This window comes from Homo sapiens, chromosome 7 (assembly GCF_000001405.40).
Source record: "Homo sapiens chromosome 7, GRCh38.p14 Primary Assembly".
NCBI lineage: Eukaryota > Metazoa > Chordata > Mammalia > Primates > Hominidae > Homo > Homo sapiens.
Window position 1 is genome coordinate 8,015,657 of NC_000007.14, and position 27,237 is coordinate 8,042,893.

The 27,237-nt window shown below is 36.0% G+C and overlaps 1 protein-coding gene across 1 annotated transcript in view, besides 1 other annotated feature; it reads left to right on the top strand.

Moving 5' to 3' along the window:
- GLCCI1 (glucocorticoid induced 1) overlaps positions 1-27,237 on the top strand; it is a 120,285-nt gene that overhangs the window by 46,861 nt on the left and 46,187 nt on the right. The window contains exon 3 of the mRNA NM_138426.4: positions 6,827-6,913. Coding sequence (NP_612435.1) covers positions 6,827-6,913 — 87 coding nt within the window. The remainder of the gene's footprint in view (positions 1-6,826; positions 6,914-27,237) is intronic.
- Positions 25,450-25,650: a silencer, noted in NCBI's record as "peak6363 fragment used in MPRA reporter construct". NCBI's record gives its function as "represses an SCP1 promoter by STARR-seq MPRAs in K562 erythroleukemia cells {active_cell/tissue: K562}" and the evidence as "EXISTENCE:reporter gene assay evidence [ECO:0000049][PMID:32103011]".

The following is a 27,237-nucleotide window of genomic DNA, read 5'->3' on the forward strand; positions in this document are numbered from 1 at the left end:
TCTTTGGTTGCTAAAGGAATATACTCAGTTATATTAATGAAAGATTTTAACCCATAACTAAAATATTTAACATTTTATTCATTAGTTTCAAATACCATCTCTAAAATTACCAAAGTCAAAATTCTACTTATTAATTTTAATACGTTATGTGTTCATTTGTTTCAAAAGTAGAAAGTATACAGCGAAAGGCCTTTCCCATACCCCCGTTACCCTGATACTCAGTTTTCTTCCCTTTACGAGAAACATTTAGCTGGAAACAAAATTAACCTGTTTTTCTTCATTGCTTTCTCATGCCTTTGCCCCTAAGCACACTCTAGGTAAAATTGTGAAATAGGTTGTATTTATTTGGAATAACACTCTTACTCTGGTCCCCTGACCTGTGTTGGTTTTGTACATTGACTTATACATTGGTTCTCAACCTGTTATATCTTGTATCAATTTTCTATGAAAAATTCCTGTGATAATATTAAACAGAATTTACTGAGAAAGACATTTTTACGTTAGAGACATTATGCCTTAACAGTTAAGATCGCCCGGGCGCGGTGGCTTACGCCTGTAATCCCAGCACTTTGGGAGACCGAGGTGGGCAGATCATGAGGTCAGGAGATCAAGATCATCCTGGCTAACATGGTGAAACCCCGTCTCTACTAAAAATACAAAAAATTAGCCGGGTGTGGTGGTGGGCGCCTGTAGTCCCAACTACTCGGGAGGCTGAGGCAGGAGAATGGCGTGAACCCGGGAGGTGGAGCTTGCAGCGAGCCGAGATCGCACCACTGCACTCCAGCCTGGACGACAGAGCGAGACTCCATCTCAAAAACAAACAAAAAAAACCAATTAAGATCATAGAGTTATAGTTTAAAATTAGGTCATAGTTTACGGTATGGTATGAGAAAGCAGTATGCCTCTTAAGGTATACTGTTTTGTATAAATGAATGAATAAATGAATGATTGATATGGGAGATACCATATTGTTAGGAACCAGTATAAACTAAGGGAAAACTTTTCCATGCTATTGGAATTCTAACAGCTTTTGGGGGACAACTATTATTGTCAACATAGCCTATTGCAATGAGGATTATATGAAACAATCCATGTTAAGCTTCTAGCACAGTATCTATGACATAACAGACACTGATACTTATTAGTTGCCTTTGATTAGAATCAATAGTATTTTACTGTTACCGGGTTTAAATATAATAATATGGAATTAAGTGGACAGGAAAAGTCTTTATTACTAGTATCAACTATTGATTATACAATTATGAACATTAGGTCTGGACTGGTAGGAAATGGCATAGAAATGACACAAGTGACCCCAGAGCATGTGAGGGCTGTGAAATTCAATAAACAATTTCTGGTAGGTCAGGATTCATTCAGTCAGAGGTAGTTATTGTGTGTTTGCTGTCTTACAAATAAGAAATGGTACTTCAAATCTATAGGTTCATGTGCAGGAGAGCGTATTTACATTCTTAGGAAAGCTACTCCCTCCTCCATTACTTAGTTATCCTATTGGTGATATTCATGCCATCATCTTAGCACTATTTTTATGACTTCAGTGGGTGTTTTTTAGAATGGTGTGAAAAATATTTTTGGCCATATGTAGTAATCACCTGTGTTGCTGATTTTCTGTCAGATGTAAGAGATTTTAAAACAATAACATGTTCAAAGCTAGCAAGAAAAATGAGTGGGTATATGGTCAACATGACACCTTGAGTGCAGATTCCGTATCTTATTGATTTCAATTTTTTAGTCTAACACTGGTTTTCAAACTTTAGAATCCATCAGAATAATCTGAAAAGGTTGCTTAAAAAATAAGAAGTATATTTCTGGGCCTTATCTAAGAGTTCCAGATCTAGTAGTCTGAGGTTGAGCCTGAGAATTTGCTTTTCTAACATGTGATGATGCTGCTGCTCATTTGGGGACTGCACTTTGAAACTGGTCTAACATAATGAGCACAAAACTTAGCATAGAGTTGGAGCTTGATAAAAAATTTGAATATGTAAGTGCTGCTATTGCTGAATTCCTAAAGCTTAAAAAAAAACCTTCCGACTTTACATAAAATAAAAATGCAGTCTTAACTTCCACAGTGTTTTGTTTGAGCTGAATTCTGCCTTTTTCTACACTCTTTGCTAATCAGAGCAGCTATTTACTATATCTGGTTACCACTCTTCCCAGAAAGGCAAAGGATAATTACACTAGAACCACAATCTTTTGTGCTGCTTTGTAATACTTCATCAGGATAGACTTTTCAAAATAATATTTAAAGAAGTTTTAAAAGAAGTTAAAAATTGTTTTATTAGTCAAAAACAAATTTTTGTAAACAAAAACAAATATTTGTAAATAATGGTTTGTCATTACCTATTCTAAACTTTTTTATAATTTAAGATTAGTCTGTGGTCATAATTAATTCTTAATATAGGTATCATTGATTTTTCAGCTAATTACATCTCATTTCTTGCTAGGTTTATCATTGCTATAAGTACTATAAAATAATTAGCAGTCAGTACTCATATTTCTATAATTGATTTATAAACTACAATAAATTTTAAGACCAGTGATGAACCACATAAAATAGATTTTTTAATATTTAAATAAGATTAAAGAATTTTGTTATGTTTTTGTTGATGGATTTTTTTTAAGTGGCTTTAGACTTTTGCACATTGACAAAGCATGTTTTTTGCTAGGAGTTAGTTTGAGCTGGTTTGAAGTTGATAAAACTAAAAAGCATATTGGCCCTTTCTAGTTAGTGAATAAAGATATACATAACAAAAGCACCCAGTATTTAAGCTTTTTGGTTGATCTAGCCAAAAATAATTTTTCTAATGGTATTCATTTTGAAGCCTCTTTAGTCCTGTGCAGTGGGATTATTCCCTTTGTATTTTACTTAGAGAAAAAGTGGTTCTCACACAGGTTGGAGCTGGGAGGATGGCCCTAGAGGTTGGAAAGAAATTTCATAGTCTGGACTTTGGAGACTTCCAGGGAGTGAGAATAGAAAAGGACCCCTTCTACCTATAGGTATCCTTTTTACATAGAGGCTTTTTTTTTCCAACTACCTTTTTTGTTAATAGTCTTACAGATAGGTTTTAGTTCTGCATTGTTCAAGTGTACAGAAGTTTCATTTCTTTTAAATGATGGTATGATATTACAGTTTTTCCTAAATTTATTTAACTGTGGAACCCTTTTTGTCTACTCCTTTTAACACCAAAGGCATGGTTATATGTAGCACTATTTAAAAAATTCTAGTCTAGATTAATGGACAGAATAACAGACCAGTTGGAAGGGGCTGCTTGCTGATATGAAAGGAAAGAACTTTTGCTACTTTGTGTTATTTTCCTGATTGAAATGGTAAAACATTTCTCAAATACACAGGTTTAATAAATTGGATTCAAATTAGTCACTTCTGTGACTTCTTAATCATCAGCTTTAAATAGATTTGATTTTGGTAGCCATCTTTTGGTTTTGTTTTGGCTAAAATAACTCATTAAAAATCAGTGATCAGTGTATAGAACACTGCCCTCCAATTGAACTTTCTTTAGTATTGGAAATGTTCTATATTTGTGTTGTCCTATATGACAGCCGGTAGCCACATGTGGTTATTGAGCTTTTAAAATGTGCTAAGTGTGACTAAGGAAGTTTAGTTTTATTAGGTCCTCATTAATTTAAATCTAAATAGGCACATGTGGCTAGTAGCTGTTGTATTGGACAATTCAATCTATAGAATATATTTGTAGATGAGAATTTTTTTATACTGTTTATTTTAAATTGATGGAATTAAAACTACTCTTTGGGGGATATTTTTGGAAAGTTAATACTATGATGACCTTAAATTATATGCATTCTATAGTTACATGATTGAGAGAACTCTTTCAGTCGTTTTTCTTTTTTTTAAACTACAGTCACTGTCACTTCATGAGGGGGATATGTTTTGAGAAATGCATCGTTAGGCATTCATCGCTGTGCGAACATCATAGAGTGTACTTACACAAACCTAGATGGTGTAGCCTACTACACACTGAGGCTATGTGGCATAGCCCGTTGCTCTTAGGCTACAAAACTGTACAGCATGTTACCGTAATGCAGACTGTAGGCAACTGTAACGTAGTGATATTTGTATATATAAACATAGAAAAGGCACAGTAAAAATATAATACATAAAGGTAGAAAATGATACACCTGTATAGGGCATGTACCATGGAATGGAGTTTGCAGGACTGGAACCTGCTCCAATTGGGTCAGTGAGCGGTGAGTGAATGTGAAGGCTTAGGGTATTACCGTAAACTACTGTAGACTTTCTAAGCACTGCACATTTAGGTTACACTAAGTTTATAACAAATACTTTTCTTTCTTCAGTAATGTTAACCTTAGCTTACCATAACATTTTTACTTCATAAACTTAATTTTGTTTAGCTTTTTGAGCCTTTCATAATAACACTTAGCTTAAAACACAAACATATTTTACAACCATAACAAACTATTCTTATTCTGTAAGCTTTTATTTATTTATTTGTTTATTTATTTCCTTTTTAGACTTTTTTTTAAAGCTAAGACAAACATACACATTAGCCTAGGCCCACACAAGATCAGGATCATCAAGACATCACTAGGTAATAGGAATTTTTCAGCTTCATTATAATTTTATGGGACCACTGTTAGGTATACCATCCATCATTGACCAAAACATTGTTATGCAGCACATAACTATACATATACTACTAACTTGATTTCTTTTGTAGGTAATTCTTTTGTGTAAATAACACACTCTGAAATAACTGAATAAGTTTTCATATTCATTTTTAAGAAAAGGATAATAGGAAGAAAGAAGATAATCTGTGAGATAAGAGAACTCAGATTTAGTTCCTTTTGCTGTTGGCGTGCTTGCCAGTGTTGAAGCAGTTGCAGAATTTTTGTGGCTATTAATTTATCTGTAAGTTGGAGATACAGTATATGTAAATGTCCTTTGAAAAAGGGCTGTACAAAATGAATGTAATTCATATTATAAATGTTGATTTTGAATAATTGTGGAAAATGCTAAAAATTTGACTCATTTTCTGTGAATATACTTTGAGTTATAAAGATTATGATTCTTAATCTTTTCATTTTGATAAGAGTAATGCTCAGTTGCTAGACAGGTAAAACCATTAAGTTATATAAATTATCAAAATAAAAGTGACTAAACAATTGAATAATTTTGGAATAAATTCATTATTAAGGATACAATGATTTGGAGGGTTGAATTATTTTCAGAGTACGTCATCTTATCTAGGACGGAACATAGGAAATTCTAATAAGTAATAGTTTTTTATAAGCAACTTATTTAATATATTGATACCTCTTATCCGTGGTCTTGCTGATTGAATAAAGTATTTTACTCTGTCAATTGACTTAAAAACTTCTTTTTACTAGTGAACTGCTCAAGCAGTTTATTTTTGTGTTTATTCAGCTAGCATTCAGTTGTTAACGGTTTTTTTGAATATCATTGCTTTTAAGACGTGGTGATTATTTTAAAAGTTTTCCACAAGCATTTTGAACTGTAAAATAGAACTGATGACTTCTTCATAAGAACTTACATATTATGTAGTCACAAGTATGGCCTTAATATAAATGATACCTTTTTCAGCATGTATTGAAAAATAATTTTTAAAGCTGTATATAGTTACTGTGACAATCATTGCCCTTTAAGTAGTGGTTTTGACCCTTTCTGATTTACATTACGCAAGTCTTCTCATGTATTAAAGATGATATTTTAATATTGTTTAATTATTATTTTTTTTTTGAGACAGAGTTTCACTCTCGTCGCCCAGGCTGGAGTGCAATGACACAATCTTGGCTCACTGCAGCCTCTGCCTCCCGGGTTCAAGTGATTCTCCTGTCTCAGCCTCCTGAGTAGCTGAGATTACAGGTGCTCGCCACCAGGCCCAGCTAATTTTTTAGAGGCGGGGTTTCACCATGTTGGTCAGGCTGGTCTCGGACTCCTGACCTCAGGTGATCCACCCGCCTTGGCCTCCCAAAGTGCTGGGATTACAGGTGTGAGCCACCATGCTCAGCCTATTGTTTAATTTTTTAATACAACTATTAAATGGTCTTAACCACTGTATGGCATTATTTCGGATTTAGTGATTTGTGTTACATTTGAGGATAGTATCTATTAATGGCTAAATAACTGAAAATGATATTTTAGATAAAAATGATTCTGTTTTCTGACATATGGTTCAGGTTTTTTAGAAGATGTATTACTTTAGTTTATATTCTGTTTATTTAGCTTATATTTTACTGTTTTTAATCTTTTTCACTTTTATAATAACTTTATGTGTTTTATATAAAGATGCCTGATATTTTTCAAAAAAGATACTAATACTTACTCTTCCCCAAGCACAGAAAAAGTAGTACAATCAGCCCTCTAGCTAAATATTTGAAATGTAGGTCATTCTTAATACTATTGCTTTTGAGATACTTTTGTTCATTTTACCTCTATTGAATTTAGTGGAAATACCATTTCATATTTAGTTTGGCTATTCTCTTTAAAAACACCAATACACATATCTTTACTATTCCCTTTGAATTTTATAATTAAGTTATTTATGTTATTGATGTGAAGATATCAAATTTTTAAGTAAGGTGACTCAGAGACATCTTTGAGCATATATAATTCAGAATATGGCAGAATATTTTAAACATTTCACGGGGTCACAAAACTCTTAGCGTTTAAAGGATTTTAGTATAGCTCTCTAACTGGTAAGTGCTAAGAATTTTAAATATGTTTCAGTTGCTTGAGATTAGGAAGTAGAGATAAAATTTCTTATTTTATTTATATATATATTTTTTAAAGACACCTAGCTGTTGGGCAGAAGAGGGTGCAGAAAAGAGGTCACATCAGCGTTCTGCGTCATGGGGGAGTGCTGATCAACTAAAAGAGGTAAGTTATTTCTGTTTTCCGTCTGTAACCTGTTTTGGTCCTAGTAGATTACCTTAGTATTTCCTGAATGTAATGACACTTTTAAAATTTATCCTAACCTTACCTCTTTCAGTAAGGTTAGGACAAATTCTAGGGTAAGGTTAGAATAAATTCTAGGCAGGTTTTTGTAAGGTTAGGACAGATTCTAGTTTGGTAGGCTGCATTCTACATTTTGGTGAACAAGTCTAAATTTACCCTATTTGTGTATTTTGCGTCTTTTATAAATATTTGTTATGCACTCAGTCAGCTTTAACCTTTCCAGAGTGAAGTCTAATTTTATGTAATACTCTCTATCTTGTTCATTTTAGTTATCTTTTGTTCTCTCTTCAGCTTGCTTGTTTTTAAGTTGTAGCAACCAGAGCTATAGGTTATAGCTTTGTACAATGGTAGGATAGTGTTTTCTGTTTCTAATAGCTTTTTTATTTGAGACGGAGTCTCGCTCTGTTGCCCAGGCTGGAATGCGGTGGCGCAATCTTGGCTTACTGCAAGCTCCACCTCCCAGGTTCACGCCATTCTCCTGCCTCAGCCTCCCGAGTAGCTGGGAGTACAGGCACCCACCACCACACCTGGCTAATTTTTTGTATTTTTAGTAGATACACGGTTTCACTGTGTTAGCCAGGATGGTCTCAATCTCCTGACCTCGTGATCCGCCCGCCTTGGCCTCCCAAAGTGCTGGAATTACAGGCGTGATCTAATAGCTTTTTAATGATATCCAGCATATTGTTGCCCTTTGGAACCCAACAGTAATCCATGCTTCTCAGAAACTTAGTTTCTATGACCCGTTTCCTTATTTATTATGAATAACCTGAGGTGTCATATCTTTATGTATATTTTGGATTATTTTTCCTGATACTTTTATCCATCTAAATTCTTTTCTATTTCTTTTTACAAATTACAGAAACTTTAGAATTGAAAGGTCATCCAGCCAATCTCCTAAATAAATACTCCTTAAAAAGATGGTCATCTAATCTCTGTTATTCTTTTTTTTTTTTTTTTTTTTTTTTTTTTGAGGTGGAATCTCACTCTGTCACCCAGGCTGGAGGACAGTGGCACAGTCTTGGCTCACTGCAGCTTCCACCTCCCAGGTTCAAGCGATTCTCCTGCCTCAGCCACCCGAGTAGCTGGGATTACAGATATGTGCCACCATGTCCAGCTAATTTTTGTATTTTTAGTAGAGATGGGGTTTTGCCATATTGGCCAGGCTAGTCTCGAACTCCTGACCTTAAGCGATCTGCCCACCTCGGCCTCCCAAAGTGCTGAGATTACAGGCATGAACCACCACACCAGGCCATGATCATTCTTAGTGATGGAAACTCACTACTTTACAAAAAGAGCCAGTTTAATTGGTTTAATTGTTTCAAGTTTTTAAATCTGTTCTCTTATGTATTGAACTTAGAATTAGATAACTTAGTTTTGACTTTGCCCTCTGGATCAATATTGAGTAAGTCTAAGTCTTTTAAAGGCTAGCAGTAAGTCATTTTTTTCCTCCAGAGTAAACATCTACATTTCTCTCAAATTTTTTTTCATATACCAGTTTCCAGGCCTCTTTGTATAATTTTTATGTACTATAGGTTATCAGTGTCCCTCATATACTGTGGTGTCTGGACTGCATAGATATAGTTTATTAGCATGATTTTACTTATGATTGTATTACATTTTAGCAGCTTCTTTATAGTATGGATGTAGAGACCTACTCAGCTCCTTCTGCCTACCATACATGTATGCAAAAAAAATCAGTTTTCTCCAGCAACAACAAAAAATAAATGAAGCTAAGTCTAATATCTCTGGCTTACTATAACTACATGTCTATGTATAGCATATGAATAACAAAAAAGTGAACTTGTATTTTTATCTCAGAGTTGAATACAGTCTTAGAGTTATCAACGAGATTTAGGCTGAAAGGAAGTAACGCCAGATATTAATTTGAATCCGTAGGAAGAATTGAAGAGTGCTGGGAATAGTAAATATGTGGATAAATATGAAAGAGTTTTTAATACTGTTGTGTTGGATTTATAATTTAACTATAACTGGATTTCAGTAATATATGACATACACTCTTAAAAAGGAATGACTGATTCAGTGAGAACATTTGATTGTTTTCCACAGAAGGCAACCATTAAAGCTGGACAAAACTGTCAAAACAACTGTTTGAGTACTTTACCAAACAAACTGAGAAGCTTTATTCATGAAAACTAATGAACATAGGGTAAGAATAGCACAAATTCGTGATCTGGTGCTACTCCTTTTCTCCTTTTCCTTGTCCCTAGCTCTGTCGCATAGCATTTCAGTCAGGATGAAAACCAGCAGCTTTGCTTCCACTTTTGCAGAGAAATCACTTGCTATGGAGAATTGTAGGTTAAAATAGTGATCTTTGTGGCAAGTAAACAGAGAGGGCCAACAGCTTTATTAGTCTAAGACTGTAGTCCAATTTGGGGCCAGCAGTAGGCTCATGAACTAGTTGAGTTTAATAGAAAGTTTTGAGAGGTAAGACAGTAGTGGGAGTTTGATAAATTCCCCACATATCCCAGGTTGAGTGGAGGCTGTGGACATGCACATCAGAGAACAGAGTGGGCTCAGGCCACCGATGTGTTCTTGGCCAGGAGAGCCTAGGAATAGGTGCAGATGAAATTCAAGTGGGCTACTGGAAATAAAACCAGGGAGGCAGAGCTTGCAGTGAGCCAAGATCGCGCCACTGCACTGCAGCCTGGGTGACAGAGCGAGACTCCATCCCAAAAAAAATAAAAAATAATAAAAGAATTTTCACAAAGAGTTAGTCATTCTAAAAAAGAAGGAAACAAAATTCTAGAGTTAAAAAGGGCAATAACTAAATATAAAAATGTTAGATGGGTTTGACAACAGATTTGCGATGGCAGAAGAATCAATGAATTAGAAGATAAGTCAATAGAATTTATATACTCTGAAGAACAGAGAGGAAAAAAAAATTAAAGTTGAAAAAGCCTCATAGGAGAAAAGAGACAGAGCAGAGAAAAAGAATCAAAGAAATACTAACAGAGAACTTTCCAGATTTGATGAAAAACAATCTACAGATTCATGAAGCTTAACTAACCACAACTAGGAAAACACAAAGAGAGCCATAAAAAGAAGAAAATGGGTCATCACATGTAGGGGACCACTAATAACTTTAACAGCTGACTTTAAAATCAGAAGCGATGGGGACCATAAGGCCTGATGCATTCAAAGTGCTGAAAGAAAAAAAACCAAAAAACTGTCAACCAGGTATTCTATATCCAGCAAAACTAGTCTTCCAAAGTGAAGGTGAAAAAATGGCATTCCCAGATAAAACTTGAGAGAATTTCTCCCTGTCAGACTGTCTTATAAGAAATATTAAAGCAAATCTTCAGGCTGAAAGGAAGTAACACTGTATATTAGTTTGTATCCATAGGAAGAATTGAAGAATGCTGGGAATAGTAAATATGTGGTAAATATAAAGGAGTTTTCAACATTGTTTGGTTGGATTTATAGCAGGTACATGAAATATATATATGATAATAGCACAAAGGAGTTAGGAAAAGGACATAAATTATAGTTTCTATTTGACTGATATTAAGTATTATTGTGATATAGATTGTGATAAATTAAGACACATTATAATCCCTAGAGCAGTTGCTAAGTTACTAAGAAGATAACTCCAAAAATGTAAAAGAAAAAAAACAAACACCAGAGGAATTAAAATGGCATACTAAAAAATATCACAAAGCAGGAAAGGAAGAATAGGTAAACAAAAAAAGTTGTGACACAAAAATAGAAGCCTACAGCATTCATCCCTCCCACCCCCAATGGAGTACTAAATTTTAACAACTATCTGCACAGGGAAAAACACCATTCACAAGAACCCAAAATCAAGTGAGCAACCACAGTACCGAGTTTTAAGTTCATAGCACCAAAAGAGGCATTGAGTAGGCCAGGAGAGAGAGTCTTGAATTGCTGATGTTACCCCTCCATTCCCTGGCAGCAGTTGTGCGGAGCACAGAATCTGTGCACTTTGGGGAAGAAGAGCACAGCGACTGGGGAACTTTACACTGAACTCAGTACTGCCATATCACAGTGAAGAATAAAGCCATGCTGGCCTCAGCCAGTGCCTGTGCATGGAGGGAACGTTTGGACCAACCTTAGCCAGAGGAGAATCAACCATTCCAGCAGTCAGAACTTTTTATTGGCAAGCTTTAAAGAGAGAGACAGACAAGACAGACAGACACCCCCTGTTTGCTGAGGAGAAAGTAAGGGAAAAGAATAACAGTCTTTGTCTGGTAATCAAGAGAATTCTCCCAGATCTTTTTCAAGACCTCCAAGATGGTAGGTATAACTCTACAAATCTGAAAAAAACACAGTGTTATTGGGCTTGGGGCCCAAGTCTCTTTGAATACCTGGAAAGCCTTCCCAAGAAGGACAGGCACAAACAAGCCCAGACTGTGAAGACTACAATAAATACCTAACTCTTCAATGCCCAGACACTGAGGAACATCTACGATAATTAGCACCATCCAGGAAAACATGACCTCACCAAATGAACCAGGCACCAGGGACTAATCCTAGAGAAACAGAGATATATAACCTTTCAGACAAAGAATTCAAAGTAGCTATGTTGAGGAAACTCACGCCTGTAATCCCAGCACCTTGGGAAGCCAAGGCGGGCAGATCCCTTGAGGTCAGGAGTTTGAGACCAGCCTGGCCAACATGGTGAAACTCTGTCTCTACTAAAAATACAAAAATTAGCTGGTTGTCGTGGCACACACCTGTAGTCCCAGCTACTGGGGAGGCTGAGGCGCAAGAATCGCTTGAGCCTGGGAGGTGGAGGTTGCAGTGAGCCAAGATCGCACCACTGTACTCCTGCCTGGGTAACAGAGTGAAACCCTATCTCAAAAATAAAAGGAAGAAGGCATACCACCACAAAAAAATCACCAAAAGGAAGACAAGAAGGGTAGAAAGAAGGAAGGAAGAGAAAACCAGAAAACAAATAATAAAATGGCAGGAGTAAGTTCCTACTTATCCATAATAAAATGGAATGTAAATGGACTAAACTCTCCAAACAAAAGACAACGAGTGGCTGAATGGATGAAAAAAAAAAAAGAGACCCAATGATCTATTGCCTACAAGAAACACACTTCACCTATAAAGATAAACATAGACTTAAACTAAAAGGATGGAAAGATATTCCATGCCAGTGGAAACCAAAAAAGAGCAGGAGTTGCTATGCTTATGTCAGGCAAAATAGATTTGGAGACAAAAACTGTAAGAAAAGACAGGGTCATTGTATAATGATAAAAGGGTCAATTCAACAAGAGGATGTAATGATTGTAAGTATATATGTACTGGAGCACCCAGGTGTATAAAGCAAATATTATTAGAGCTAAAGAGGAAGATAGACCCCAATACAATAATAGCTGGAGACTTCAACACCCTACTTTCAGTATTAGACAGATCTCCTAGACAGAAAATCAGCAAGGAAACATTGGGCTTAATCTGCACTGTAGAACAAATGGACCTAATAGATATTTACAGAACATTTCATCCAACAGCCTCAGAATACAAATTTTCCTCCTCAGCACATGGATCATTCTCAAAGACAGACCACATATTAGGTCACAAAACATGTCTTAAAACATTCAGAAAAATTGAAATAATATCAGGAATCCTCTCTGACCACAGTGGAATAAAACTACAAATCAATAACAAGGGGAATTTTGGAAACCATACAAGCACATGGAAGTTAAACAATATGCTCCTAAATGACCAATGAGTCAATGAAGAAATGAAGAAGGAAATTGAAAAACTTCTTGAAACAAATGATAATGGAAGCACAACATACCAAAATCTATGGGATACAGCAAAAGCAGCACTAAGAGGGAAATTTATAGCTGTAAGTGCCTACATCAAAAAAGAAGAAAAACTTCAAATAAATAACCTAACAATGCATCTTAAAAAGCAGCAAAAGCAAGAGCAAACCAAACTGAAAATTAGTATAAGAAAAGAAATAATAAAGATCAGAGCTGAAATAAAATGGATTTGAAATGAAGACAACACTACAAAAGATGACTGAAATTAAAAGTTAGTTTTTTGAAAAGATAAAATTGACAAACCTGTAGCCAAGGTAACCAAGAAAAAAAAAGAATACCCAAATAAATTAGAGGTGAAAAAGAAGACTTTACAGCCGATACCACAGAAATTCAAAAGATCATTAGTGGCTACTTTGAACAACTATATGCCAATAAATTGGAATATCTATAAGAAATGAATAAATTCTCAGATACATATAACCTACCAAGACAGAATCATGAAGAAATCCAAAGCCCAAATGGGCCAATAACAAGTAGAGATTGAACCCATACTAAAAAGTCTTCCAGTAAAGAAAAGCCTGGGACCCAATGGCTTCACCGCTGAATTCTACCAAACATTTAAAGAACACCTAGTACCAATCCTACTAAAGCTTTTCCAAAAAATGGAGGGAGATGGAATACTTTCAAACTCATTCTACAAGACTAGTATTACCCTGCTACCAAAACCAGACAAAGACACATCAGAAAAGTAAAAACAATAGGGCAATTTATCTGATGAATATGGATGCAAAAATCCTCAACAAAATAACTAGCAAACCAAATTCAGCAATACTTTAAAAAGATCATTCATCCTGTCCAAGTGGGATTTATCCCAGGGATGCAAAGATGGTTCAACAAACTCAAATCAATGTGATGCATCATATCAACAAAATGAAGAAAAGCCATATGATCATTTCAATTGATGCTGAAAAAACATTTGATAAAGTTCAGCATCTCTTCATGTCAAAAACCCTCGAAAAAACTGGCTGTAGAAGGAATATACCTCAACATAATAAAAGCTATATATCCCACAGCTATTATTGTGCTGAATAGGGAAAAAGAAAAGAAGGATGTTCACTTTCACCAGTGTTATTCAACATAGTACTGGAAGTCTTAGCTGGAGTAATCATAAAAGAGAAAGAAATAAAGGGTATTTGAATTGGAAAGGAAGAAGTCAAATTATCCTTGTTTGTAGATGATATAATCTTATATCTGGAAAAACCCAGACTCCATCAAAAAGCTATTAAAACTGATAAATTCAGTTAAGTTGCAGAACACAAAGTCAACATACAAAAATCAGTAGTGTTTCTATATTCTAAAAGTGAACAATAGAAAAAGAAATAAAAAGTCATCCCATTTACAATAGACACAAATAAAATTAAATACCTTGGAATTATTCAAAGAAGTGAAAGATCTCTACAATGAAAAGTATGAAACACTGATGAAAGAAATTGAAGAGGACACCAAAAAATGGAAGGATACTTCATGTTCATTAATTTGAAGAATCAATATTGTTAAAATGTCTATTCTACCCAAAGCAATCTTAGATTCAATGCAATTCCTATCAAAATACCAATGAAATTCTTCACAGAAATGAAAAAAACTAAAATTTGTATGGAATGACAAAAGACCCAGAATAGCCAAAGCTGTCCTAAGCGAAAAGAACAAAACCGGAGGAATGACATGACCTGACTTTAAATTCTACTGAAGAGCTATAGTAACCAAAACAGCATGGCACTGGCATAAAAACAGACCCGTAGACCAATGGAACAGAACAGAGAATCCAGAAACAAATTCACACACCTAAAATGAGCTCATTTTTGACAAAGGTGCTAAGAACACACATTGGGAAAAAGACTTCAATCCATGGTGCTGGGGAAACTGGATATGCCTATGCAGAGAAAGAAACCTGACTCCTTTTTTTCACCTTATACAAAAATAAAATCAAGATGGATTAAAGACTTAAATCTGAGACCTCAAACTATGAAACTACTACAAGAAACCATTGGGGAAATTCTCCAGGACATTGGTCAGGGCAAACATTTCTTGACTAATACCACACAAGCACAGGCCATCAAAGCAAAAATGGAAAAATGGGATGACATCAAGTTAGAAAGCTTCTGCACAGCAAACAATCAACAGTGTGAAGAGACATCCCACAGAATGGGAGAAAATATTTGCAAACTACCCACCTAACAAGGGATTAACAAACAGAATATATAAGGAGCTCAAAGAACTCCATATTAATAAACCTAATAGTATGATTTTTAAAATGGGCAAAATATTTGATTAGACATTTCTCAAAAGAAGACATAGACGTGGAAAACAGGCATACGAAAAGGTGCTCAGCATCATTGATTATTAGAGAAATGCAGATCAAAACTGCAATGAGGTATCATCTCACCCCAGTTAAGATGACTTTTATCCAAAAGTCAGGCAATAACAGATGCTATTGAGAATGTGGAGAAATGGGAACCCTCTGTACACTGTTGATGGGGATGTAAATTAGTACAACCACTATGGAGAACAGTTTGGAGGTTTCTTTAAAATCTTGAAAATAGAGCTACCATATGATCCAGCAATCCTACTGCTGGGTATATACCCAAAGGAAAGAAAATCAGGATATTGAAGAGATATCTGCACTCCTATGTTTGTTGCAGCAGTGTTCACAATAGCCAAGATTTGGAAGCAGCCTAAGTGTCCGTCAACAGATGAATGGATAAAGAAAATGTGGTACTTATAGACAAAGCAGTACTATTCAGCCACGAAAAGAATGAGATCCTATCATAATGACGTCCAGTTCCATCCAACAACATGGATGTCATTACGTTAAGTGAAATAAGCCAGGCACAGAAAGACAAACATTGCATGTTCTCAGTCATTTGTGGGATATAAAAATCAAAACAATAGAACTCGTGGAACTAGAGGATAGAAGGATGGTTACTTACAGGCTGGAAAGTGTTGGGTGGGGAGCCATGGGGAGGTGGGAATGGTTAATGGGGGAAAAAGTTGGAAAGAATGAGTAAGACCTAGTATTTGATAGTACAACAGTGGGACTATAGTCAGTAATAATTCATTATTCGTTTAAAAGTACTAAAAGGGTATAATTGGGTTGTTAGTAACATAAAGAATAAATGCTCTAGGGGATAGATACCCAGTTTACTCTCATGTGATTATTATGCATTGCATGCCTGTGCCAAAATATCTCATGTGTCCCATAAATACATATACCTACTATGTACCCACAATAATTAAAAAATTTTTTTAAATAAATATTTTTAAAAAAACAAACAGACTGAAAGCAAAAAGATGGGAAAAGATAAAACAGTAACAATAAGAGAGCTGGAATAGATATGTTAATATCAGGCAATGTAGACTTTAATACAATAAAGATAACTGAAGAGAAATAGGAAAGTTTCATAATAATAAAAAGGTTAGTGCAAAAGGAACTTAAAACAATCATAAGGATATATGCATCTAACATCTGCATTTCAAAAATACATTAAGCAAAAAATGTAAAATGAGAAATTATAATTATATGACAGTAATTAGAGATTTCAGCATCCCATTATTGAGAAACCAATTAGAGAATCAGCAAGGTGATAGAAGACTTTAACAATATTATCAATCAACTTGACCTAACTGACATGCATAGATGGAAAACACCCAGTCACTGCAGAATAGCAGAAAGAAATCTTAGAAAATCCCAAATATTTGACAATTAAGGAACACTTTTCTAATAACCCAAGGATATTTTTTAATATTTTCAATTGAGTGAAAATGAAAACTCAACTTAGAATTTATGTATGCAGCTAAAGCAGTGCTTCAAGGAAAATTTATACTTTTAAATCCACATATCAGAAACAGAGAAAAACTTCTCATTAATTACATAAGTTTCCATCTTAAGAAACTGGAAAAAGAAAAGCAAATCAGAGCAAAAACAAGCAAAGGAATGAGAAAATAAAGAATAAGCAAAACCAATGAAACAGAAAAGTACTAGAGAAAAATCAGTGTAACTAAAAGTTTGCAGAGATCACTAAAGTTGAAAAACATTTAGCTACACTGACTAGAAAAAAAGCAGACCCAAATTACCAACTTCAGAAGTGAAAGAGGTGACATTACTACCAACTGTACAAACTTAAAAAATATTATGAAACAATATTATGAACAACTTTATGCCATCAACGTAGAAAACTGAGATGAAATGGACAAATTCCTAAAAGACACAAATTAGTAGAAAGGTATAAAGTGCCAAAGCTGACTTAGGAACAAATAGAAAATGTGAAGAAACTTATAAAAAGTAAAGAAGCTGAATAAATAATTTAAATTCTTCCCACAGAGACTATCCCGGGGTCACATTTGATGAATTCGATCAAATATTTAAGGAAAAAGTAATGTTAATTATTTACAAACTCTTCTTCTAAAAAATAGAAAAGGAGGGAACACTCTCCAATTTATTTTTTCAGGTCATAAGTACTGTCCTTTCAAAGTCAGGCAAAGACATCTCAAGAAAATAAAACAAGATGAATATCCATCTTGAATATAAATATAAAATTATTAATAAAATATGAGCAAACCAAATCCAGCAATAAATAAGAGGGATTATATACCCTGAGTAAGTGGGATTTGTCCAAGGAATGCAATGATGGTTTAACATCAGAAAATTAGTTAATGGCATGAATTATATTAATAGAATAAAGGACATAAATTACATAATCACCTAAGTAGAGTCAGATGAAACATTTGACAATATTCAACAGTCATTCATGATTAAAAAAAAAAATCAACAAACTGGGAACAGAAGAAAACTTTCTTCATCTGATAAACTGCATTTATGAAAAACCTACAGATTACTCATATTAAATGATAAAACAGAATGCTTTTCTCCTAAGGAACAAGGCAAGGATGTCCACTGTCATCTTGTCACCACTTTTATTCATTACTGTACAGGAGATTCTAGCCAGTGCAGTCAGGCAAGAAAACAAAAAGACATTCGGATTGTAAAGGAAGCAGTGCAACTTCCTTTATTCACCGAAGACATAATCCTATATGTAAAAACTCCTATGGAATGTACAAATATATTATTATAACTAATAAGTTTACCAAGGTTACATGATATGAGATCAACATACAGAGATCAATTATATTTCTGGGTAGTAGCTATGAATAATTAAAAAATAAGAAAACAATTTATTCACAGTTGCATCAAAAAAGATTAAAGTGTTTAGAAATAATTTAAGAGACCACTCCAGAATTTATACACTGAAAATATTACTGGATGAAATTTATAAGGATTTAAATAATGGAAATTAAATAAATGGAAAGACTTAACTTGTTCATGGATTGGAAGAATCAATAGTAAGATGGTAATTCTCAAATTGATATATAGATTCAATGCAATTTCTATGAAAATACCAGGGCTTTTGTTTTTTGGTTTGTTTTTTACTAGGAATTGACAAGCTAATCCTAAAGTGTGTATGGAAATACAAAGGATCTAGAAAAGTCCGAATAATCTTGAAAACGAAAAATTTGGTAGAATTATATTACACTATTTCAATGTTTCCTGTGAACCTACATTAATATAGTTAGTATAGTATTGGCACACATAAAGATTTATAGGTAAATGGAACAAAATTTGTGAATCTAGAAATAAACCCTTATATTTGTGGTCAGTTTATTTTAGCCAAAGAAGCCAACACAATTTAATTGAAAAAGACAGTCTTTTCAACAATTGGTGCTATAATAATTGAATATTTGTATGTACAAAATACCCTTAAGTCCTAGCTCTCACCATAGAGAAAAATCAGCTTTCAGTGAATCATAATCCTAAATGTAACCTCTAAAATTCTAAAACTTCTAGAATATATTAATTAGACATTCTTAGATACAATCTCAAGAGTAAAAGCCCTAAAAGAAAAAAAGATAATTGGATCTTCAATAAAATTAACACTTATACTTCAAAATACACCACTAAGAGAATAAAAAGACAAGCCACAGACTTGAAGAAATATTAGCAAATCATGTATTTGATAAAGGGCTTCTATGTAGAATATATAAAGAATTCTTACAAATCAATAAGAAGATAAATAATCTACTTTAAAAATTGGTAAGACACTTGAAGTATTTCATCAGAGAAGAGGATGGCTGACAAGAGACATCAGACACCACTTCTCAGAAAGAAGAACCATAGTTACAGGTGAATAATCATAACTTGAATAGAATATCAAGGGGAGAGTGCTGGAGTCCAGTGGAGAACTCACAGGAAGAAGCTAGGACACAGAAAAAGAAGGAAAAAGAGGCTGGCAGAGATTAGCTAGGAAGCCCAAGGGACTTGCTATTTTGTTGAAAGGATAGGTGGAAGTGTTTTGGGCTCCCCTTCCCCTCGCAGCAAACTGCTGGTATTCAAGAGTTCCTCTGCCCTTATGAACCCAAACACTGGTGTGGGTGGTGATTTGGGGACTTACTGAGGGCATTACACCAGACTACCAGCTCATGCTGGGTTGCTTACCCTCCCTGTGGACCCGAGCTGTGATGGCAGGCCCAATATATTTGGGACATGCCTGTTGAAGGACTGAGTCCTGCCCAAGGAACCTCAGGTCCTGCCCTTGTGTCTCGACATCACTGGATCCCATACAGACATTCCCTGGCACTCACTCAGATTGTAGCAGCCACATAGTGCTGGCTGGACCCAGGGGAGCTGCAGGATTCTCAGTGGTCTCTCCCTCAGGGAGTGCTGCTCCTAAGGGAAGGGAAAGTGCAGTGCACAAAAGTGTGTGCTGTCCTTTGCCCGAGAACTCCCCACTTGGCTGAGAGTGACTGCTACTTCCAGTGCAGATGTGGGCACTGTGCTTGGCTCTTCAAGGGAGGAACAGGGTTCCATCCCAGCAGCCAGGTGGCCTCAGTGCTTAAGCACAGATGTGGAGAAGGGATATCTCTCCTCTGCAGCTTGTCCACTGCTGCGAACACAGCCATGGCTGCTCCTATGGGAGGTTGGTACAGGCGTATCACAAGACAGCCATTCTAGGGCAATTAGGTATGGCTGTGTCCGCACTGATAATCTAAAAAATAAGAATTTATTCAAGCTGGGCCCAGGCTTGTGTGAAAGGTGGGGCACCTCCCCCTTATATGTGGAGTTGTTATGTTCCTGCAACAGAAATCAGGAGAACCACAAAGATGTATGTTTTAGGCTGAAGACAGGTTCTACACCAAAGATAGTTTGGCAGTAAGCTGTGAGATGGGCAGATTTCACAGCTCTTGGCTACACTGCAGTGTGGATATAGACAGTGTTGTCTGTCCCGTCAGAGTGTCCCAAGTGCCTAACAGGGGTGTGACAGGGAAGCAAATCATGTTCCTGCCTGCCTAGGTATGGAGCTGAGGCAGTTCCCTCCCCCACATAGAGAGCTTGTCACATTCTACCAGGAGCTCCTCTCACCACCCGCTTCAGGGCTAGTGATTGTGTCCACCATTGGAGTATTGAAGAGCAGGCTTGGTGGTTTAGCTCTACCCAGCTTTGTCCCCATCAGGGGCTGAGCAGAGATCTCAGGCTACTGTGCATTACACAGTCTGGCCAATTTGAAGCAACAGAGAGATCCTTCCAGTAAACAAAGATCAAGCATATACCCATCTGCTTCTGCTGTAGCTGGCCTTTACACATAAGCACCACCTATTGGTCTGTAGGTTAAATTGCACAACCCAATACAAAATCTGCTAACACAAGTGCACAGTTCTGGGGAATGAGATAAACTTCCTGAGACCTCCACCATCCTGGCCCAAGAGGCAGTGAGTTTGTTCACATGCCCAGTACATCACTTCTACAACTAGTATTTGAGAAGCCATCACACAAAGCATGTCTGAAACCAAGTAACTCATAGAAACTTTGCTTTCAGTGGAAAGCACCCAGAATAAAAGCCAAAAGGCCATACACAACATATATTATAGTCTCATCCTTAAGATGGAAAAAAAATCATGTCCAAACAAAAGTAAATTCAAAAATAAGAAGAGAGAGTTTATCCAGATGAGAAGGAACTAGAGAGACAATTCTGGAAGTATGAAAAAACAGAGTATTACAACACCTCCAAAGGATCATACTAACTCTCCAGCAATAGATCCTAATGAAAATGAAATCTTTTAAATACCAGATAAAGAATTCAGAATATTGATACTAAAGTTCAATGATACCCAAGAGAAAGTTCAAAAACAATACAAAGAAATCAGAAAAACAATTTAAGATATAAATGAACAGTTTATTAGGAGATACTTTTTTAAATCCACCAGAACTTTTAGAAATGAAAAATTCATTGAATGAATTACAAAATAGAGTTGAAAGTTTTAACAAGTAGACTAAACCAATGAGAAGAAAGAATGTCAGAGCATGAAGACAGGTCCTGCAAGTTAATCCAGCTAGAAAAAGAAAACAGAATTTTGAAAAATAAAGCCTTTGAGAAGTATGAGATTATGTAAAACCTCCAAACCTTGTCATAGGGAGAAGGTTTCTTCCTGAGGGAGAAGAAAAAGAAAAAAGTTTGGAAAACCTATGTGAGGAGATAATTGAGGAATAATTCTCTCATCTTACTAGAGATTTAGATGTTGAAATAGAAGAGGCTCAAGGAAATCCAAAAGATATATTGCAAGATGACTCGACCAAAATAGTCTTCAGACAAAGTCAGTGTGAAGGAAAGGAATCCTAAAATCAGCAAGAGAAAAGCATCTAATCTCCTGTAAAGGAAACCCCAACAGACTTACAGCAGAATGCTCAGCAGAAACTCTATAAGCCAGAAGAGGTTGGGTGCCTAATTTCAGACTTCTTAAAAGAAAAAGAAAACTGTCAGCCACGAATTTTGTATGCTGGTAAACTCAGCTCGGTAAGTGAAGGGGAAATAGTATTTCCCAGACACGTGAATGCCAAAGGAATTCATCACCACTAGACTGGTCCTACAAGAAATGCTCAAGGGATTTCTAAACATGGAAATGAAAGGTTGACACTCACCATCATAAAAACACATGAAAGGATAAAACTCACAGATCTTATAAAACAGTTCCACAACTGAGACTACAAAGCAACTAGGTAAGTTAACATTATGATAGGAACAAAACCTCACATACCAATATTAATTCTGAACATAAATGGGTTAAATGCTCCACTTAAAAGATACAGCTTGGCAGAATTGATTAAAAAGCAGGATCTAATCATATCTTGCTTACAAGAAATCCACCTAACTGCTAAAGACACGTAAAGACTCAAGGTAAAGGGGTGGAAAAAGACATTCCTTGCAAATGGAAAGAAAACGTGAGCAGGAGTAGTCATACTTACATCAGATAAAACAGATTTTAAATCAACAGGGAAAAAAAGATAAGGTCATTATATAATGATAAAGGGATCAATTCAACAAGAAGATATAGCAATTCTAAATATATATGCACCCAATACTAGGCCACCCAGATTCATAAAGCAGATACTGCTATACTTAAGAAAACAGATAGTAATACAATAATAGTGGATAGGGGACTTCAGCCCCCCACTGACAGCACTAAATGGGTCATCAAGACAGAAAGTCAGCAAAGAAACACTGGACTTAAATTGGACTCTAGATCAAATGGACCTGGTAGAAATTTACAGAATATTCACAGCAGCCATAGAATATACATTCTTCTCATTAGTGCATGGAACAGAACACCAATGAAGTCACTGATGACAAAAGCAAATGGACAAACATTCTAAGCTCTTGGATTGTAAGAGCTTAAATTAATATGGTTAAAATTGCCACCTACATATTCAGTATAATTCCTATCAAAATACCAAGGTCATTTTTCATGGAATTAGAAAAAATAATCTGAAAATTCATATTGAAAAAAGCCCAAATGGTGAAAGCAGTCTTAAGCAAAAAAAGAAGAAAAGTTTATTGCATCACATTACCTGCCTTCAAATTATACTACAAGGCTATTGTACCCAAAACAGAATGCTACTGGTAGGATAGCAAAAACATAAATCAGTGGAACAAAATAGAGAACCCAGAAATAAAGTCAACTGATTTTTGACAAAGTTGACAAAACATATGCTGGGGAAAGTACACTCTTTTGAATAAATGGTCCTGGGAAAATTGTGTAGCCATATGTAGAAGAATGAAACTGAACCTATATCTCTTATCATATACAAAAATTAACTCAAGATGGATTAGAGACTTAAATGTAAGACCTGAACCTATAAACATTTTGGAGGAAACCTAGGACAAACCTAGAAAACCTAGGACAAACTTGAACATTGGCCTAAGCAAAAAATTTATGAGTAAGATCTCAAAAGCAAATGCAACAAAAATAGGCACATGGGAGTTAATTAAACTAAAAAGCCTCTATGTAGCAAAATAAATAACAGAGAAAATAGACTACCTACAGAATGCAAGAAAATATTTGCAAACTATATATCTGACAAAGGACTAATGCACAGAATCTACAAGGAAGTCAAACAATGCAACAAGAAAAAAAATACGTAACCCTGTTAAAAAGTGGATAAAGGACATGAACAAACATTTTTCAAAAGAAAACATGCATATAGCCAACAAGGAGATGAAAAATGCTCAGTATCACTAATTATCAGAGAAATGCAAAATAAAATCAAAATGAGATAGCACCTTATACCAGTCAGAATGACTATTAAAAAGTCAAAAAAAAATAGTTGTTGGTGAGGAAAAGGGAATGCTTATACACCATTAGTGAGAATGTAAATTACTACAACCTCTATGCAAAAATATGGAGATTTCTCACAGAACTAAAAATAGAACTGCCATTTAATCCAGTAGTCCTACTACTGGGTATCTACCCAAAAGAAAGGAAATTATATCGGAGACACCTCCACTCACATGTTTATTACAACACTATTCACGGTAGCAAAGATAAGGAATTAAGTTCACGGTAGCAAAGATAAGGAATTAAGTGTCAATGGCTGATCAGATAAAGAAAATGTGTGTCTGTGTGTGTGTATATATATGTATATACACACACCACGGAATACTATTAATTCATAAAGAAGAATGAAATCATGTCTTTTGTAGCAACATGGATAGAACTGGAGGGCATTATCTTAAATGAAATAACTCAGAAGCAGTCAAATATTACATATTCTTACTCATAAGTGGGAGCTTAAAAATATGTATACATGGACATAGAGAGTAGAATAATAGACATTGGAGACTTGGAAGGGTTGGAGTGGGGTGAGGGATGAAAAATTACCTAATGGTTACAATATTTAGGTGATGGTTCCACTAAAAGCCCAGACTTCAGCCGGGCGCAGTGGCCCACGCCTGTAATTCCAGCACTTTGGGAGGCCACGCGGGGTGGATCACTTGAGGTCAGAGGTTTGAGACCAGCCTGGCCAACGTGGTGAAACCCCGTCTCTACTAAAAATACAAAAATTAGCTTGGCATGGTAGCGGGCTCCTGTAATCCCAGTTACTTGGGCGGTTGAGGCAGGAGAACCACTTGCACCCAGGAGGCAGAGGTTGCAGTGAGCCGAGATCATGCCACTGCACTCCAGCCCGGGTGACAGAGCAAGACTCTGTCTCAAAAAAAAAAAAAAAAAGAAGAAGCCCAGGCTTCCCTACACAATATATCCATGTAACAGAACTGCACTTTACCCCCTAAATCTATATAAAAATAAATAATAAAAAAGTATTTCATCAAAGAGAATGTATGAATGGCAGATGACCACATGAAAAGGTGTTCAACATCATTCATTAGTCATTAGGGAAATGAAAATTAAAACCACAATGAGGGAGGTGTGATGGCCCACAACTATAATCCCAGCACTTAGGGAGGCTGAGATGGAAGGATCTTTTGAGCTCATGAGTTCAAGACCAGCCTGAGCAACATAGTAAGAGTTCATCTCTACAAAAAATACAGAAGTTAGCTGGGCATGGTGGTGTGTGCCTGTGGTCCGAGTTACTCAGGATGTTGAGACAGGTGGATTGCTTAAGTCCAGGAGTTTGAGACTGCAGTGGACTATCTATGATCATGCCACTGCACTCCAGCCTGGGTGGCAGAGCAAGACCCTGACTCAAAAAAAAACTTAAAAACCATAGTGAGATATAATTAACACACACACACACACACACACACACACACACACACCAATGACTATTTAAAAGACGGATTAATTGCAAGCATTGGTTAGGATTTGGAGGACCTGGAACTCTCAGACATTTTTAGGAATATAAAGTGGTACATCCACTTTGGAAAACACTTTGCTAGTTTCTCAAAAAGGTAAACAGAAATTTAGCATACAACCCAACAATTTCATTCTTAAAAGTCTGTACAAGAAAAATGAAAACACATGTCTACATTGAGACTTATACACAAATGTTTATCGCAGCATCATTCAAACTTAATCCGTAAATGTATGCATGTGCTTTGCTTCATCAACTATCATTTTCCTCTCCTTGGGCTTCCTTATTTCCTGAGACACAATAATAGTGAAATAGGCCAACTAATACTCCTACAGTGACCTCTTAAGTGTTCAAATGAATGAGAGAGTCATACCTCTCTCACATTCAGTCAAAAGCTAGGAATGATTAAGCTTAGTGAGGAAGGCAAGTAAAAAGCCAGTACAGACCAAAAACTAGGTCTCTTGCACCCAAATAACCAAGCTGTGGATGCAAAGGGAAAGGTCTTGAAGGAAATAAAAATTCTACTCAAACAAACACAAGAATGATAACAAAGCAAAACAGCATTATTGCTGACACGGAGAAAATTTGAGTGGACTAGATAAAAGATCAAACCAGCCACAACATTCCCTTAAGCCAAAGCTTAATCAGAGAAGGGCCCTAATTCTCTTCAATTCTGTGACAGCTGAGAGAGAAGAGGAAGCTGCAGAAGTAAAGTTTGAAGCCAGCAGACATTGGTTCTGAGGTTTAAGGAAAGAAGCCATATCTATAAAGTGCAAGGTGAAGAAGTACTAAGTGGTGATGTAGAAACTGCAGCAAGTGAACTGGAATACCTAGCTGAGATCATTGATGAAAGTGGCTACACTAACAGGTTTTCATTATAGACAAAACAGCTGTACTGTGGAATAAGATGTTGTCTAGGACTTTCATAGCTGGAGAGAAGTTGATGATGCCTGGCTTCAAAGCTTTAAAGGACAGGCTGACTCTCTTGTTAGGAGCTTGCTTTTTTTCTTTTTTTCGAGACAAGGTCTTGCTCTGTCACCCAGGCTGGAGTACAGTGGCATGATCGTAGCTCACTGCAGCTGCAGCTGGGCTCAAGCAGTCTTCCTACCTGAGTATCCCAAGTAGCTGGTACTACAGGCATACACCACCACACCCAGCTAATTGTTTTTTATTTTTGTAGAGACAAGGTCTCATTATGTTGCCCAGACTGGTCTCGAACTCCTGGGCTCAAGCAGTCCTCCCGCCTCAGCCTCCCAAAGTGCTGGAATCACAAGTATGAGCCACCACACGCAGCTGCAGCTGATGATTTAAGCCAGTGCTCATTTGCCATTCTGAAAATCCTGGGGATCTTAAAAATTATGCTATGTCTATTGTGCTTGTACTTTATAAAGTGGAAGAACAAAGCCTGGATGATATAGCACATCTATTTACAACATGGTTTACTGAATATTTTAAGCCCACTATGGGGACATACTGCTCAAAAAAGGAAAAGATTCTTTTCAAAATATTACTGCTTATTGACAATTTGCCTGGTCACCCAAAAGCTCCGATGGGGATATAAAAAAAATTAATGTTTTCATGCCTGCTAACACAACATCCATTCTGCAGTCCGTGAATCAAGGAGTAATTTCAATCTTCAATTCTTATTATTTAAGAAGTACATTTTGTAAGGCTTACAGGTACCATAGATAATGATTCCTTTGATGAATCTGGGCAGAGTAAATTGAAAACCTTCTGGAAAGGATTCACCATTCTAGATGCCATTAAGAACATTTGTGATTCATTGGAGGATTTCAAAATATCATTAACAGGAGCTTGGAAGAACTTGATTCCACCCTTAATGGATGACTTTGAGGGGTTCAAGACTAGAGTGGAGGAAGTCACTGCAGATGTGGTGGAAATAGCAAGAGAACTAGAATTAGAAGTGGAACATGGGCTGGGTGCAGTGGCTCATGCCTATAATCCCAACACTTTGAGGCTGAGATCACTTAAGCCCAGGAGTTTGAGACCAGGGCAACATAGCAAGACCCTGTCTCTTTGAAAAATAGAAGTGGAACCTGAAGATGTGACTGATTTGCTGCAATCTGGTGATCAAATTTGCATGAATGAGGAATTGCTTCTTACGGATGAGCAAAGTAAGTGGTTTCTTAAGTAGGAATGTACTCCTGATGAAGAAGCTGTGAACATTGTTGAAATGATAACAAAAGATTTAGAATATTACATAAACCTAGTTGATAAAGAGTGGCAGGGTTTGAGAGGATTGACTCCAATTTTAAAAGAAGTCCTGCGAGTAAAAT